An 18,191-nucleotide genomic window follows, 5' to 3' on the forward strand; every position below is an offset into this window, starting at 1 on the left:
TGAACTCCCATTCACAATTGCTTCCTAGGAATATAGCTAACAAAGGAAGTGAAGGACTTCATCAAGGAGAACTACAAACTACTGCTCAAACAAATCAAAAAGGACACAAACAAATAGAAAAATATTCCATGCTCATGGATAGGAAGAATCGATATTGTGAAAATGGATATACTCCCCAAAGTAATTTATAGAGTCAATGCTATTCCCATTAAACTATCATTGGCATTCTTCACAGAATTAGAACATTTTATTTTAAAATGTATGTAGAACCAAAGAAGACCCCAAATAGCCAAGAAAATTCTCAGCATAAAGAACAAAGCTGGAGGCATCACTCTACCCAACTTCAAACTATACTACAAGGCTACAGTAATCAAAACAGCATGGTACTGGTACAAGAACAGATACATAGACCAGTGGAACAGAATAGAGAACTCAGAAATAAGACCACATACCTACAACCATCTGATCTTTGACAAACCTGACAAAAACAAGCGATGGGTAAGTATTTCTATTGAATAAATGGTGCTGGGAGAACTGGCTAGCCATATGCAGGAAATTGAAACTGGATCCTTTCCTTACACCTTATACAAAAATTAACTCAAGATGGATTAAAGACTTAAACGTCAAACCCCAAACTACAAAAACCCTAAAAAAAAATCTAGGCAACACCATTCTAGCCATAGGCATGGGCAAAGATGTCATGACGAAAATGCCAAAAGCAATTTCAATAAAGCAAAAATAGACAAATGGGATCTAATTAAACTAAAGAGCTTCTGCACAGCAAAAGAAACTATCATCAGAGTGAATAGTCTACAGAATGGGAGAAAATTTTTTCGGTCTATTCATCTGACAAAGGTCTAATATCAAGAGAGTACAAGGAACTTAAACAAATTTGCAAGAAAAAAACACCACCAATAAAGGTGGGCAAAGAACATGAACAGATACTTCTCAAAAGAAGACATTCGTGCAGGCAACAACATATGAAAAGAAGCTGAACATCACTGATCATTAGAGAAATGCAAATCAAAACCACAATGAAATACCATCTCACTCCAGTCAGAATGGCTACTATTAAAAGTCAAAAAACAACAATTGCTGATAAGGTTGCAGAGAAAAAGGAATGCTTTTACACTGTTGGTGGGAGTGTAAATTAGTTCAACAATGTGGAAGACAGTGTGAAAATTCCTCAAAGATCTAGAGGCAGAAATACCCTTTGACCCAGCAATTTCATTACTGGGTATACACTCAAACAAATATAAATATTATATTATAAAGATACATGCACATGTGTGTTCACAGCAGCACTATTCTTAACAGCAAAGACGTAAAATCAACTTAAATGCCCATCAATTATAGGCTGGGTAAAGAAAATGCGATACATATACACCATGGAACACTATGTAGCCATAAAGAAGAACACGATTATGTCCTTTGCAGGGACATAGAAGGACTTGGAAACCATTATCCCTAACACACTAACACAGGAACAGAAAACCAAACACTACATATTCTCACTTGTAAGTGGTTGCTGAATGATGAGAATGCATGGACACATGAGGGGGAACAACACACACTAGGGTCTGTCAGAAGGGAAGATAGGGGGAGGGAGAGCATCAGGAAGAATAGCCAATGGATGCTGGGCTTAAAACCTAGGTTATGGAATGATCTGTGCAGCAAACCACCATGGCACACATTCACCTATGTAACTAACCTGCACATGTACCATTGAAGTTAAAATAAAAGTTGAAGAATAAAAGAATTATCTCACCAAGCTCTGTCCTGGTAGCTGCAAAGAAACTGGACTATGAATGCGTAAAGCTCACACACACACACAGACACACACGAAATAACTTTCCAATTTTTTTTTGAACTTTAAGAAAATTCGAGCCCTTTAAAGCTTAGATCTTGCCTTTAGGCTTTTGCAGATTTATTTAAGATAAAATCAATATAGGCCTACTCTCATAGTATGAACCTGATAGCCTACTACAAGCGATATGTTCAGTGATTCTTTCTGGTCCAGAAATTCCAAGCAGATCAGAAGGAGAGAGAGCAAATGGGTAGGAGTGAATCATGACATTGGATTTATATAGTCCCACAAATTACTCTCTCACAAAGTTCTCTTTCTATTAGAATGGAATGTTTATTGACAATATAGATGAAAAGTCGTGGCCTTATATAAATTTGGGAGCCAATTTTTTAATTCAGACCACGAGCAGAAAGACAATATGTTCCATGTGATATTACTTTAAAATCACTTCCATCAACATGACCTGGAGAAAAACCTCAACAGTCAAACTAATAGTCAAAAATCTCTGATCTAGTAATCACAGTGCACAAATAAATAAAATGATGTATACAACTATCTACCAGAGTATGCTGTATATTATCCGAATATTTTTCAAAAGCAAGCAAAAACAAGGATGCTACCTTAGTCTCTCACAAAGGCATATGTTTAATTGTACCTGTTCCAGGTTCTGTTTCTTTACCTCTCACCTTGTCTGCTAAGGGGACGTTTTTCTCCACTAATATAAGAAGAGGAAGAATTTTCTTAATCCATTTACAATTCTTCCTTAATGCAGTTAAGAAAATGACAATATTCCTGTGTAATAGAAGATATTATCATTTCTGTCTTATATGCGAATGGAGTATGGTTCTGAGAAGCAATTTAAAATCTCGGAACTATAGAAATCCAGGCCCCATAGCTTCTGAGTCTAGATTTTTAAATAATACTGTCTTCTGCTTTACATCATTTTAAAACAGATGAGGTAAATGAAACAAAATTAAAAATGCCCTTTCTCTCTTGCATAGTTTTAGTGAGGGTGATATTTCTACTAATTCATAAATTGGTCACCAAGAACAAACAATGGGGTCAATCTTCAGCAAACTAGGAAGACATTTTGCACAGAGAAATAATTTTGTGGTGAAAACTCAGATGAAATAATGTGAACACGATTCAGAGTTCAATGTGTTTGATGTGGCTATATTAATGAAACATAGGTTGAGTATCCCTTATCCAAAATGCTTGGGACCAGACACGTTTGGGATTACAAATTTTTTATTTTAAAATATTTGCATATACATAATGAGATATCCTGGGGATGGGACCCAAGTCTAAACATAAACTTATTCACATTTCATATATACTTTAGCCTGAAGATAATTTTATACAATATTTTAAAATAATTTTGTGCATGAACCAAGGTTTGTGTACATTGAACCATCAGAAAGCAAAGGTGTTACTATCTCAGCCACCTACTTGGACAATCTGTGGTTGCTTGGCAATGCCATTATTTCTGACTCTAAATATATATGCAATCTATAACCAACAATTTTCTTACAGTTATTCACACATAAATACTTAACAGAAAACAATTATGATATACCATTAATATAGTGAAAAATCATGTGTTTAGGCTAACTAAGCAATAGAGTAGCATCACCAGAATACCTGTATCTGCTGTTAAACAGCAACAACAAACAACAGCAAGTTTTTAGTCTCCACCTATAATGTGTTTTGATTAAAAGCTTACTACACACTGTATTTTTTTAACTTCCTCTGTGTTTTCTCCCTCCCATGTTTTTTATCCTTTTCTTTACTTTTATTTTTATTTTTTTGGTACAGAGTGAGTGTATATATTTATGGGGTACATGAGATATTTTGATACAGGCATACAGTGCATAATAATCACATCAGGGCAAATGAAGTATCCATTACCCCAATTATTTATCCTTTCTTTGTGTTAAAAATCTAATTCTATTATTTTAGTAATTTTTAAATGTGTGATAAAATATTGTTGACTATAGTCACCTGTTGTGCTATCAAATACTAGATCTTATTTATTCTATCTAAGTAAATTTTCTCTATCCCTTAACTACCCCCACTTCCCAACCTGCCCCACCCAACAACCTTTTCCAGCCTTTGGTAACCATCATTCTACTCTCTATCTCCATGAGTTCATTGATTCTAATTTTTAGATGCCACAAATGAATGAGAATATGCAAAGTTTGTCTTTCTGTGCCTGGCTTATTTCACTTAACATAATGTCCTCCAGTTCCATCCATGTTGTTGCAAATGACAGTATCTCATTCTTTTTTATGACTGCATAGGACTCCATTGTATATATATATGGAGTATATATCACAGTTTCTTTATTTATTTGTCTATTGATAGGCACTTAGGTTGCTTCCAAATCATGGCTACTGTGAATAGTGCTGCAATAAACATGAGAGTGGAGGTATTTCTTTGATATACTGATTTCCTTTCTTTTGGCTATATACCTAGCAATGGAATTGCTAGGATCATATAATAGTTCTATTTTTAGTTTTTTGAGAAACCTCCAAACTGTTCTTCATAGTGGTTGTACTAATTTGCATTCCCACTAACAGTGTACGAGGGTTCCCTTTTCTTCACATCCTTGCCAGCATTTATTATTGCCTGTCTTCTGCATAAAAGTCATTTTAACTGGGCTAAGATAATATGTCATTGTAGTTTTGATTTGCATTTCTCTGGTCAATGGTGTTGAGCACCTTTTGGTATACTTACTTGCCATTTGTTTGTCTTCTATTGAGGAATGTGTATTCAGATTTTTGCCTATTTTTAAATCAGATTATTAGAATTTTTTCTTTAGAGTTGTTTCACCTACTTACATATTCTGGTTATTAAACCTCTGTCAGATAGTTTGTAAATCTTTTCTCCCATTCCTTGGTTTATATTTTCACTTCATTGATTGTTTCCTTTATGGTGCAGAAGCTTTTAACTTGATGTGATCGTAGTCATCAATTTTTGCTTTGGTTTCCTGTGCTTGTGGGATACTATTCAAAAAATCTTTGCCCAGTCCAATGTCCTGGAGAATTTCCTCAATGTTTTCTGGCAGCAGTTTCATAGTTTGAGATCTTTGATTTAAGTCTTCAATCCATTTTGATTTGATTTTTGTATACAGCAAGAGATAGGGTCTAGTTTCATTCTTCTGAATATAGATATCTAGTTTTCCCAGCATCATTTATTGAAGAGAATGTCCTTTCCCCAATGTATGTTATTGACACCTTTGTTGAAAATGAGTTCACTGTAGATGTATCAATTTGTTTCTAGGTTCTCCATCCTGTTCCATTGGTCTATGGGTCTGTTTTTATGCCAGTACCAAGCATTTTCAGTTACTATAGCTCTGTAGTATAATTTGAAGTCAGGTAATGTGATTCCTCCAGTTTCATTCTTTTTACTCAGAATAGTTTTTGCTATTCTAGGTATTTTGTGGTTTCATATAAATTTTAGGATTTTTTTTTCTGGTTCTGTGAAGAAGGTCATTGGTATTTTGATGGGGATTGCATTAAATCTGTAGATTGCTTTGGGTAGTAAGGATGTTTTAATACTATTAATTCTTCCAATCCATGAATCATGGAATATTTTTCCATTTTTGTTTGTTTGTTTGTTTGTTTGTTTTTGTTTTTGTTTTTTGGTGTTCTCTTCAATTTCCTTCCTTAGTGTTTTATGGTTTTCATTATAAAAATCTTTCACTTTGTTTGGTTAAGTTAAATTCTAGATATTCAATTTTATGTGTGGCTATTGTAAATGGGATTACTTTTTAAATTTCTTTTTTCACATTGTTCACTGTTGGCATATAGAAATGCTACTAATTTTGTATATTGATTTTGTATCCTGTAACTTTACTGATTTTTTTTTATCAGTTCTAATAGTTTTGTGTGTGTGTGTGTGTGTGTGTGTGTGTGTGTGTGTGTAGTCTTTAGGTTTTTCCATATATAAGATCATATTATCTACAAACAAGGATAATTTGACTCTTCCTTTCCAATTTGGATATCTTGTATTTCTTTCTCTTGCCTGATTTCTCTATCTAGAACTGCCAGCATTATGTTAAATAGCAGTCATAAAAGTTGGCATCCTTGTCATTATCCAGATCTTAGAGGAAAGGCTTTCAGTTTTTTCCCATTCAGTATGATATTAGCTGTGTGTGTGTTATATATGGCTTTTATTGTACTGAGGTATGTTTCTTCTATTCCTAGTTTTTTGAGGGCTTTTATTATGGAGAGATGTTGAATTTTATTGAATTTTCTTCAGCATCGATTGAAATGATCATATAGTTTTGTCTTTCATTCTGTTACTACAATGTATCACATTGATTTGCTTAGGTTGAGCCATCCTTACATGCTGCAATAAATCCCACTTGGTCATGATGAATAGTATTTTTAATATTTTGTTGGATTCACTTTGCTAATACTTTGTTGAGGATTTTTGCATTAATGTTTATCAAGGGTATTGGCCTGTGGTTTTCTTTTTTTGATGTGTCATTTTCTGGTTTTGATACCAGGTTAATTCTGGCCTTGAGGAATGAGTTTGGAAGTATTCATTCTTCCTCTATTTTTTGTAATAGTTTGAATAGCATTAGTTCTTTAAATGTTTGGTAAAATTCAGCAGTGGCCATTGGGTCCTGGGCTTTTCTTTGCTATGAGACTATTTCAGTTTCAATCTCATTACTTGTTACTGGTCAGGTTTTAAATTTTTTTATGGTCCAATCCTGTAGGTTGTATGTCTCTAGGAATTTATTCATTTCTTCTAGGTTTTCCAATTTATTGGCATATAGTTGCTCAGAGTAACCACCAATGATCCTTTGAATTTCTGTGGTATTGGCTGTAATATCTTTTTCATCTCTGAGTTCATTTATTTGAGTATTCTCTTTTTTATAGTCAGGCTAAAGGTTTGCCAATTTTGTTTACCTTTTCTAAAAACAAACTTTTGATTTCATTCATCCTTTATATTGTTTTCTTGGTTTTAATTTCATTTATTTCTTCTCTGATCATATTTCTTTTCTTCTACTAATTTTGGGTTTGGTTTGCTTTTTCTTTTCTAATTCTTTAAGATGCATTATTAGGATGCTTGTTTGAAGTTTTTCTACTTTTGTGATGTAGGCACTTATGGCTATAAATTTTCCTTTTAGTACTGTTTTCATTGTATCCCATTCATTTGGGTATATTGTGTTTTCACTTTCTTTTGTTTCTAAAAATTTCTAAATTTTTTTCTTAATTTCTTCATTGACCCACTGGCCATTCAAGAGCATATTGCTTAATTTCTATGTGTTTGTGAAGTTTCCAAAATTCCTTTGGTTATTGATTTCTTTATTTTTTAACTTTTACTTTAAGTCCGGGGCACATGTGCAATTTTGTTATATTGGTAAGCTTGTGTTACAGGGGTTTGTTGAACTGATTATTTCATCACTCAGGTACTAAGTCCAGTACCCAATAGTCATTTTTACTGATCATCTTCCTTCTCGCAACTTCCACCATCCAGTTGGCCTCGGTATCTCTTGTTCCCCTCTATGTGTCCGTACATTCTCATCATTTAGCTCCTACTTATAAGTGAGAACATGCAATATTTGTTTTTTGTTCCTGTGTTAGTTCGCTAAGGACAGTGGCCCCATCCATGTCCTTGTAAAGAACATGATTTTTTTTTATGGCTGCATGGTATTCCATGGTGTATATGTACCACATTTTCTTTCTAGTTTCATTTCTTTGTGGTCAGATTAGATACTTGATATTATTTCAGGTTTTGTTAAATTTTTGGCTTGTTTTGTGAGTTAATGTATAGTTTATGCTTGAGAATGACCCATTTACTGAGCGGAAGAATGCATATTCTGTAGCCATATGATGAAATGTTCTCTTAACATCTATTAAGTCCATTTGGTCTATAGTGCAGATTAAGGTCAATGTTTCTTTGTTGATTTTCTGTTTGGATGATATGTTCTATGCTGAAAGTAGAGTGTTGAAGTCTCCAGCTATTATTATATTTGTGCCTATCCTCTCTTTATTTCTAATAATATTTGCTTTATATATCTGTGTCCTCCAGTGTTGAATGCATATATATTTACAATTGTATCCTCTTACTCTATTTACCCTTTGTCATTATATAGGAACTTCTTGTCTCTCTTTACAGTTTTTGTGTTGAAATCTATTTTATTTGATATAAGTATACCTACTCCAGCTCTTTTTGGGTTTCCATTTCCATTACATATACTTTTCCACCCCTTCATTTTTAGTCTGTGTGTCTTTATGGGTGAGGTATATTTCTTGTAGGCAACAAATCATTGGGTCTTTTTTCTTTTTATTTTTTGTCTATTCAGCCACTATACATCTTTTGATTGGAGAGTTTAATTTATTTATACTAATGTTACTACTGATAAGTAAGAACTTACTCCTGCCATATTGTTATTTGTTTTCTGATTGTTTTGTTGTCTTCTCTTTCCTCTTTCCCTCCCTCCGGTCTTCCTTTTGTTGAAGGTGACTTTTGTTGGTGGTACGTTTTACTTTTTTGCTTTTTCTTTGTACCTGTTATAGATTGTTTAATTTGAGGTTACTGTAAGGCTTGCAAATAATACCTAACAATCTATTATTGTAAACTGATTACAACTTAGCACTGATTGCAGAAATAAACACACAAAGAGAAAACTAATAAAAACTGTACACTTTAACTTCATTCCCCCATTTTTAGCTTCTTATTGTTTCTAAGTATATCTTATTATATAAGATATAATAAGATGTCTATGTCTTGAAAAGTTGTTATAGTTTTATTTTTGATAAGTTCATCTTTTAGTCTTTCTACCCAAGTTACGAGTAGTTTACATACCACAATTAGTGTTATAATATTCTGTATTTTTCTGTGTGCTAACTATTACAAATGAGGTTTGTACCTTCAGATAATTTATATTTACCATTAACCTCCTTTTATTCCAGACTGAAGAACTCCCCTTAGCATTTCTTTTTTTTCTTTTTTCTTTTTTTTTTTTTTGAGACAGAGTCTCGCTCTGTCGCCCAGACTTGAGTGCAGTGACATGATCTTGGCTCACTGCAAGCTCTGCCTCCCAGGTTCACACCATTCTCCTGCCTCAGCCTCCCGAGTAGCTGGGACTACAGGTGCCCACCACCATGCCCAGCTAATTTTTTTGTATTTTTAGTAGAGACAGGGTTTCACCATGTTAGCCAGGATGGTCTCAATCTCCTGACCTCGTGATCTGCCCACCTTGGCCTCTGAAAGTCCCCTTAGCATTTCTTTTATGACAAGTCTCGTGTTGATGAAATACTTCACCTTTTGTTTGTCTGAAAAGTCTTTATTTCTTCTTCATGTTTAAAGGATGTTTTCCCTTTATATGCTATTCTAGGATAAGAGTTGTTTTTCTTCAGTACTTTAAACATATCATGCAATTTTCTCCTGGCCTGTAAGGAGAGGAGAAGTCTCCTCTGAGGTTTCCACTGAGAAGGCTAATGCCACATGTATTGAAGTTCCTTTGTATATTATTTGTTTGTTTTCCCTTGCTGCTTTTAGGATTCTTTCTTTATCTTCGACCTTTGGGAATTTGATTGTTAAATGCCTTGATGTAGGTGTATTTGGATTAAATCTGCTTGGTGTTCTATAATCTTCTTGTTCTTGAATATTGATATCTTTCTCTAGGTTTGGGAAGTTCTCTGTTATTATCCCTTTGAATAGATTTTCTTACCCCAATCTCTCTTTGTACCTCTTCTTTAAGGCCCATAAATCTTAGATTTGCCCTTTTGAGGTTATTCTCTAGATCTCATAGGCATGCTTCATTTATTTATTTTTATTTTTATTTTTGGTCTCCTCTGCCTGTGTGTTTTCAAATAGCCTGACTTTAAGTTCACTAATTCTTTCTTCTACTTGATTAATTCTGCTATTAAGAGACTCTAATGCATTCTGCAGTATATCAATTGCATTTTTCAGCTCCAGAGTTTCTGCTTAATTCTTTTTTAATTATTTCAATCTCTTTGTTTAATTTATCTGGCAGAATTCTTAATTTCTCCTCTGTGTTATCTTATATTTTATTGAGCTTCCTCAAAATAGCTATTTTGAATTATCTGTCTGAAAAGTAACATGTCTCTGTCTCTCCAGGATGGGTCACTGGTGCCTTATTTCATTTATTTCATTTGTTTGGTGAGTTCATGTTTTTCTGGATGATCTTGATGCTCATGGATGTTCATCATTGTCTGGGCAATGAAAAATTAGATATTTATTGTAATCTTCACAGTCTGGGCTTATTTGTATCCATTCTTCTTCGGAAGGGTTTCCAGGTTTTCAAAGAGACATGGGTATCGAGATCTAAGTCTTTGGTGTCGTGGAGGCCTTGAGTTAGATCTGGGAGAATTCCCTGAATTACAAAGCAGAGACTCTTGTTCTCTTCCTTTACTTTTCCCCAAACAGAGTCTGTCTTTGGGCTGAGCTCCCAGGAGCTGGGGAGGGATGACACAATTATACTTGTGCCCACTACCACTGGGACTGTGCTGGGTAAGACCTGTTATTATTGGCACAGCACAACATTGGGTCACACCCAAGGCCCTCAGTGACCACTGCCTAGCTACCACCTATGTTCACTCAAGGCCCAAGCGGCTCTACAATCAGCAGATGACAATCCAGCTAGGCTTGCTTTCTTCTCTTAAGGGTGATGAGTTCTCTTAGCCCTGAAAGATACTGTCTGGAAGCCAGGGCCTAGAGTAGGGAACCTTAAGAATCTACCTGGTGCTCCATTCTATTGTGGCTAGGCTGGCACCCAAGCTGCAAGACAAAGTCTTCCCCATGCTTTCTTCCTCTTACCTCAAGCAGAGGAGTTTCTCCCTGTGTCCACTAGTGCCCCAGGCCCACAGCAAGTGCTGCCTGGCTACTGCCGATTTTCATTCAGAGCCCATAGGCTCTTCAGTCAGCTTGTGGTGAATGCTTCTAGGCTGGGGTCTCTTCCTTCAGGGCAAGTGGCTCCATTCTGGCCCAGGACCAGGAGCCAAGGCCTGGAATCAGGAATACCAGGAGCCTGCTTGTTGCTCTACCCAACTGTGGCCCAAGATGCAAGAGAAAGTCCCCTTTACTCTTTCCTCTCCTTTCTTCCCTTGGCTACCCTGGCTGGTGTCTTGCTAGGTCACATGTACGCCAAGTCCACTGGCTCCAAGTTCAGCACAGCACCACAGCTTGCCTAGGATTTGCAGTCCTTGTGGCCTAGACTTCTTTTCAAGTTTATTTAGAACCCCAGAGTCCTTTAGCCCATGATGGCAGGGCTTTCCAGAACTTTCCTCTGTAGGCACTGACTGAGTTCATCCTGTTTTTGCGTTCTGTTGTGCCAGGGCAGCACTGAGTTCTAATTCAAAGTCCCGTGATCAATGCACTCTCTCTCCTGCAAGCAGACAGATTATATCTGCACCAACAGTCAATGCTGGGGGATGGGAAGGGATGGTGTCAGCAATTCAGGATTTCATTTTCTGCCCTTTTCATTGCCTCTTTTAGTGATATGAAATTAAAACCAGGTACTATGATTGCTCACCTGATTTTTGGAGCTTATAAAAAAAGGTGCTTTTTTTGTATGGATAATTGTTGAATTTGCTGTTTCCACAGGATGGACAATTACTGAAGAGTTCTATTTGGCCATCTTGCTCTGCTTCTTCAATCTGTACTATGTGTGTGTGTTTGTGTGTCTGTGTGTATATGTAATATATATGATATATATAGTATATATACTATATATAGTACTATATATAGTATATATACTATATATAGTACTATATATAGTATATGTATGGTACAGATTGTATATTATGCATGTGTATATATGTGTGTGTGTGTGTAAGAGAATTAGCCGCCTTCAGCTTTTATTCTTTCCCGAAGCTTTGCAAAACCTCTCAGCCTTCCAAGAAGGTTTGCGTCTTTCCGTATAATTTTTCCCACCACCCTGACTGATCTCCTACATCTCCCCCTTTTCTGCTTTTTGCATCAGGTTTTGTTGACTGAAGAGTACAGATGTGTGCAGCAACAGGTTTGTCTGGGGTAGCAGTTACTGCTCATATTCCAGCTTTGCATCCTAGAATTAGTAAATGAGACAAACATGACTATAATTAGTAATATTCTTTTCCAATCAAGGAGCAACATCTAGTGTTACTTGGCACCACAGTCTAATGTGTGCCGTTAGTAAGGAACACCACTGGAGGTATGTCAAGCCCTCCCAGCCAAGCAGTTACATTATTAGAGGCTGGGAAGGGGGTGTCTGCCCAGGTAACAGGGCAGAAGAAAGGCAGATTTAGAAGATGGGTCTAATAAAATGCAGCAGGTATTGGTTGCAGCCACAGTGAGAGAATAAGAAAAACCAATATCCTATGAGAGTTGCAATGTACAACAGAAAGCATAGCAAGGAACAAATTATCTGGAGTGAACGGCATCTGTGTCCCGAGCAGGTTCACTCAACCTCCTGATTTGTCTTCTTCATTATCCCCCAGGTAATGTCTGGGGCTTGTGTCATCCGAGGAAGCAGCATCATCTGGGGTTACGGATCCTGCAGGGTCATTTCCTTCATTTCTGGTACTGGGCTGGGTCTTAGCCACACCATGGTATGGTTTGATGCATTATGCTGGAATCCAAAGAGTACCTGAGGGGGTGTGAACACAAGGATATTCTCTTCCCCACGTTAGCAATTCATTTGGACCACACCATACATTACTATTTACATCCTTCCATAAAACTGTGGGTTTTATGTCTTGAGAGGTTTTTAGCAAAGTGCTTTTCTATGGCTGATTGAAATTTATCATTTAAATTTAAGAAACTAAGGGTAAATAAGGCTTGCACTAGTAGTGTTGCAGGATCCTTACTCATATTCCCCCTTTTTTGTTTTCTGAGCATATTTTTAAGGGTGGAGTGGATACATTCTACTATGGCCTGTCCTTGGGGTTATACAGGATGCCTGTGGAATATTGGATGTTCCATGTGTGACAAAATTGTTGAAATTGTGAGCTGGCATAAGAAGGACCATTATCAGTTTTAATTTTTGTGAGCCACCCCATAAACACAAAAGTTAAGAGAAGATGTTTAATGACATATTGGGTGAACTCTCCAGGAAGAGTATGTGAGCTAATTAGGGGGGAATTGGTATCAATGGATACATGTACATATCTAAGTTTTCCAAATTCAGGGACGTGAATAACATCTGCCATAACTGATTAGGTTCTAGTCCTCTAGGGTTAACACCTGTTGAAGGAGGGGACATGCCTGTGAATTGGCAATCTGAGCATTATAAAATAATTTGTTTAGCTAGTCTTTGGGTAAGTTGAAATTGTTTAGATAAGTTGCTCCAATTTTGGTGAAAAAATTGATGTGATTGTGTGGCTTGGTCAAGCAGTGACATCATAACCTGCAGGTCTGCTGGATTATTGCCATAAGCCAGTGGGCCAGGAAGTGAGCTGTGGGCTCGAATATGTGTGATAAAAATAGGATGTGTACGTTGATCCAGCAATTGCTGAAGTCGAAGAAAAAGTGCACACAGGGTGGGCTCGAGAGTGGACTTAATAAGGACTATCTCAAGGTTCCATAATAAGTAAACAGAGTAAGCAGAGTCACTAACAATATTGATGGGCTGAGTGGAAAAAGTTTCCAGGGACAATATTAAGGCTCCAACCTCAGCTCTCTGAGCACTAATAAATCCCGATCGACTGAAGGAGTTATGCAGTTCCCACTAGACAGCTGTTTTCCCATTTTTACTAGAGTTATCAGTAAAAAGCAGTAAAGTGTTAAGTATGGGGAAGTGAACTACCTTTGTAGGCATAACTGCAGGAGTACGAGATAAGAACTGAAGTAGTTTGTCAGCAGGAAGGGCATGTTCTATATGGCCTGCATAATCAGAGAGTGCTAGTTGCAGGTCTAGAGATAAGGGCAAGACTGCTTTGAATTGGTTTTTACTCAAAGGAATTCTTATGACATCAGGGTCATAACCTAGCAATGGATTGCATCATCTGCAGCCTGTATAGGTGACTTTACTAACTAGCTGGATATAGGGAGATAGTGTTTTAGTCTTGGTATGTGAGCAAAAGACCCATTCTAGAAAGCACAGCCCTGGGGCTATGTTTCCTATTAATCCTGTTGGGGAAAGTTTAGTAGGAAAAACAAAAAATTGAACTGAATATTGTGGGTCTATGCAATCTAGCTGCCTCTGAGAAATAGCTTGCTCTATTTCCTCAATTTCTGTTTTTGCTGCAGGGGTTAAATACCTGGGAGAGTCTAGGGCTTATTGCTCTTTAGGATAGAAAACAGGTTTTGTAACTTATCGTAGTTATGCCCAAAGTGGGCGAAGCCAATTAATATCACCCAGTAATTTCTGATAATCATTTAAGGTGTGTAAGTTGTCAGTGTTCAATTTAACCTTTTGAAGTCTCACTGACCAGGAAGTTAGTATGTATCCAGAATATTTCAAAGGAAAGGACATCTGTACTTTTTCAGGTGCTATGATTAAACCTCTTAACCGTGTATTCCTTTGGACATAGGCATATAAACTTAAAAGTACTGGCTCTGTTGGATCTGCTAGTAAAATATCATCCATAAAATGAATAATCTTGCAATTAGGAAATTCTTTTCTACTTGGGAGAAAACCTTGATTTACATGATACTGTCACATGGTAGGACTCTTCAGCATCCCTTGAGGAAGTACATTCCAATGAAATCAATGAGCTGGCCTTTCATTATTGATAGCTGGTATAGTAAATGCAAAGTTTTATCTGTCCTGTTCTGCAAGGGGAATAGTATAAAAAACAGTCTTTTAAGTCAATAACGACTCTAGGCCAATCTTGAGGAATCAGCTTGGGGGAAGTGAGCACCTGTTGAAGGGGCCCCATAGGTTGCAAATTAGCATTAATAGCCTGTAAGTCATGCAATAGTCTCCATTTGCCAGATCTTTTGGGAATAATGAAAATGGGTGAATTCCAAGGGCTGTTTGATGGTTCTAGGTGGCTGGCTTTTAATTGCTCCTCAATTAATTAATGGGTTCTTTGTAATTTCTCTCCCTTTAAAGGTCACTGTTCTATGCAAATTGGATCTTGAGAGAGCCACATCAGGGGTAGGGGAGGAATAACAGTGGCCATTAATAGAAAGAGGTCTACAGAGTGACCTCAACCCTCTCATAAATGGGCTAGCAGCTCTGTTTTCTCTAATTCTTCTTATCTCTTTCTAAGCACCAAAATAAATGGGTACATACATCCGATTGCCTTGCCAATCTTGCATTACCGGGCAGGCTAAGAGCTCCCCTTCTAATGCCGCTTGCCTAAGACAGGGTCCCACAGCTGTAGTGTATCCCTTGTCTTTCTTCCAATTTATTGGAGGAGGGAGCTCAGGAAAAACCTTTGTTTTCTCTTTGGTATCTTTACCCTGTAATGGTGGGGCTAAGGGAGGAGGAGCAGGCAGTAAGGTAGGTGATGGTTCTTCCCCTCTTCGCTTTTTAGGCTCTTCTGGGTAGAGTGGGGCCAAAGCAGCCCTAACTAAGGCCCATAATGTTAAAGATGTTACTGTGACCCGTTGCCCTTGTGCATGATGTTGTTTAAGACTACTCCTCACTTGTTCCCAGAGCTCTAGGTCTAACGTGCCTTCTTCCAGGAACCATGGGTTATGGGAAACAAGAGTTTGCATTAGGTCTCTTAATTGAGCGTGTGAAACCAAGGCTCCACTAGCTTTAAGCAGCTATTTCAATACTTTTATATACTGTTTCTTTTGAGCTAATAACTGTTGTCCCATGATGAAACCCTAGCCTGAAAATTCCCCCAAACTTGGAAATCCCGAGCAGGCATCAGTGACTTACTGACTGTGCAGTCTCTTCACCTTTATTTTTGGGGGTTCCATTGCAATCTGTTGCAGCATTCCTCACAGGGGGCACTACCTGCCAGGTCTGTCCAGCAGACTGGCCAAGAGACAAATGAAAGAAGTATGCAAACGTCGGTATTTTGCCTGAGAGTATAGCTAGGGAACTGCACAGCTTAGCACCACCAACAAGAGTGCAGCCCGGATAAGTTAGAGCTGCTTGTATTTATTCAGTACAGATTTAATCACAAAGGCCTGGAGCAAACACAATTTATGGGTAATTAACATTGTTGCCCCCCTGAGTAGAAAGCAGGCCTACACACGCGAATGATCAAAGGTTGGTTTCCGGAGATGAAAGTAAATGAATTCATCTACATAAATTCTTTTACATTCCCTTGTTATCTCCCCTTCGCACTCTGCTTCAGGGTAAGAGAGTTAGCTGCCTTCAGCTTTTATTCTCTTGCAAAGCTTTGCAAAACCTCTTGGCCTTCCAAGAAGGTTTGCATCTTTCCCTATAATTTTTTCCACCTCCCTGACCTATCTCCTACAATGTATTATTATTATTATGTCCACAATTCTTATTTTGATTTGTATGGAAATTTTTGTTTTTGTTGTTGATTTCTGCAGTGTTAATTTTTGTGAGCCTGTTTTATTTAAAATATTTCCATCAGAAGGAGGATTTGCATCATGGTTGATGGGAGGCAGGACTAGCTTGCAGCTCCAGACAGAGAAGTGTGTAGAGGCTCACATTGTGAATTTTATCTCCAGATTGACTGCAAGAACAAACCAGAAATCCTGAAAGGACCCACATACCCTCTGAATAAAGCGGACTACTCCTGCAGGACCTGGGAGATACCCCAAAAACTGTGAGTGTCCCAACTGTGGAAGTGGGAAAGGGAAACCCTCCTCTCCTGAACAAACACCACCACTGGAGAAGCTGAAGGTCTTCTTATGGGAGAAATTTCTGATATTATCTGGAGCTCAGTCAATTTGGAGAGCAGAGCAAAATACAGAGGTAAAGGAGGCAGCAGAAAGGCCCTGGGAGCTCGCCGGGTCCCCTAGAAGGCCATTCTTGCCTGGCACCACAGAGATCCCTCGAGAGGGTGACCAGAGGAGCAGGAGGTAAAACTCCACAGGGAGAAGGAAATCTCTAGCTGAACTTTGTAACAATTCAAAGGGGGTTTGAAACCTGGCTAGATCTTGGGGGAGGGTGCAAATTCAGTGTGCAGACCCCACAGGCAGGGGTAGAACCATGCCCTTTTCATTTGCAACTGGGAGGTGGGTAGCCTGCGGCAGATTTTCAAGCCCGTCTCACACTGCACCTGGAAATGGACTCAGGGCTGTTGAGGGGGCATGGTGGGAGTGAGACCAGCCCTTTGGTTTGCATGGGAGCTGGGTGAAGTCTGTGACTACCAGCTTTCTCTCACTTCCTTGACAACCTGCATGACTCAGCAAAGGTGGCTATAATCCTCCTAGGCACATGACTCCAGTGACCTGGGATTCTCACCCCCATCCCTGACAGCAGTGGTAGCAACACCCGCCCAAGTAGATTCTGAGCTCAGACACGCCTAGCCCTGGCCCCACATGATAGTCTTTCCCTACCCACCCTGGTAGCTAAAGACAAAGGCACATACAAGATCCCTGCCCACCCCGGTTCCTCCTCATACTAACACAGCTGATGCTCTCTGGAAAGCACCAACTCCTGGCAGAAGGCCAACCAGCACAAAAATAGAGCATTAAACCACCAAGACTAAGAACCCTGAGAGAGTTCATTGCACCCCCCTGCCTGCCACCTCCACCTCCACTCAACAGGCACTGGCATCCATGGCTGAGAGACCGACAGACAGTTCACGTCACAGGACTCTGTGCAGACAACCCCCAGTACCAGCCCAGAGCCTGGTAGACTCACTGGGTGGCTAGACCCAGAAGACAGATAACAATCACCACAGTTTTGTGCACAGGAAGCCACATCAATAGGAAAAATGGGCAAGTACTACATCAAGGGAACACCCTGTGGGACAAAAGAATCTGAACAACAGTCTTCAGCCCTAGACCTTCCCTCTGACAGAGCCTACCCATGTGAGAAGGAACCAGAAAACCTATCCTGGTAATATGACAAAACAAGGCTCTTCAACACCCCCCCGCAAAATCACACTAGTTCACCAGCAGCAGACCCAAACCGAGAAGAAATCCCTGATTTACCTAAAAAATAGTTCAGAAGGTTAGTTATTAAGGTAATGAGGGAGGGACCAGAGAAAGGCAAAGTCCAATGCAAGGAAATCCAAAAAATGATACAAGACGTGAAGGGAGAAATATTCAAGGAAATAGATAGCTTAAAGAAAAAACAAAAATTAAGGAAACTTTAGACACACTTTTAAAAATATGAAATGCTCTGGAAAGTCTCAGCAATAGAAATGAACAAGTAGAAAAAAGAAATTCAGAGCTCTAAGGCAAGGTCTTCGAATTAACCTAATTCAACAAAGACAAAGAATAAGAAAATATGAACAAAGTCTCCAAGAAGTCTGGGATTATGTTAAATGCCCAAACCTAAGAATAATTGGTGTTCCTGAAGAAGAGAATTCTAAAA

At 38.2% G+C, this 18,191-nt stretch overlaps 1 protein-coding gene across 1 annotated transcript in view, besides 3 other annotated features; it reads right to left on the bottom strand.

Moving 5' to 3' along the window:
* The window catches only part of CRISP1 (cysteine rich secretory protein 1), a 42,840-nt gene extending 41,041 nt beyond the window's left edge, over positions 1–1,799 (bottom strand). The window contains exon 1 of the mRNA NM_001205220.2: positions 1,712–1,799. The gene's annotated coding sequence lies outside the window, so the exon portion shown is untranslated. The remainder of the gene's footprint in view (positions 1–1,711) is intronic.
* Positions 15,535–16,300: an enhancer, noted in NCBI's record as "OCT4-NANOG hESC enhancer chr6:49858545-49859310 (GRCh37/hg19 assembly coordinates)". NCBI's record gives its function as "activates a minimal SCP1, AML or CMV promoter by ChIP-STARR-seq in naive H9 embryonic stem cells {active_cell/tissue: H9 hESC(naive)}" and the evidence as "EXISTENCE:reporter gene assay evidence [ECO:0000049][PMID:30033119]".
* Positions 15,535–17,398: a biological region, named in NCBI's record as "CDK7 strongly-dependent group 2 enhancer GRCh37_chr6:49859209-49860408".
* Positions 16,199–17,398: an enhancer, noted in NCBI's record as "CDK7 strongly-dependent group 2 enhancer chr6:49859209-49860408 (GRCh37/hg19 assembly coordinates)". NCBI's record gives its function as "activates an origin of replication core promoter dependent on BRD2, BRD4, P300/CBP, MED14 and CDK7 cofactors, with strong dependence on CDK7, by STARR-seq in HCT116 cells {active_cell/tissue: HCT116}" and the evidence as "EXISTENCE:reporter gene assay evidence [ECO:0000049][PMID:35650434]".

The sequence above is a fragment of the Homo sapiens genome, chromosome 6, assembly GCF_000001405.40.
Source record: "Homo sapiens chromosome 6, GRCh38.p14 Primary Assembly".
In the NCBI taxonomy this organism is placed as follows: Eukaryota; Metazoa; Chordata; class Mammalia; order Primates; family Hominidae; genus Homo; species Homo sapiens.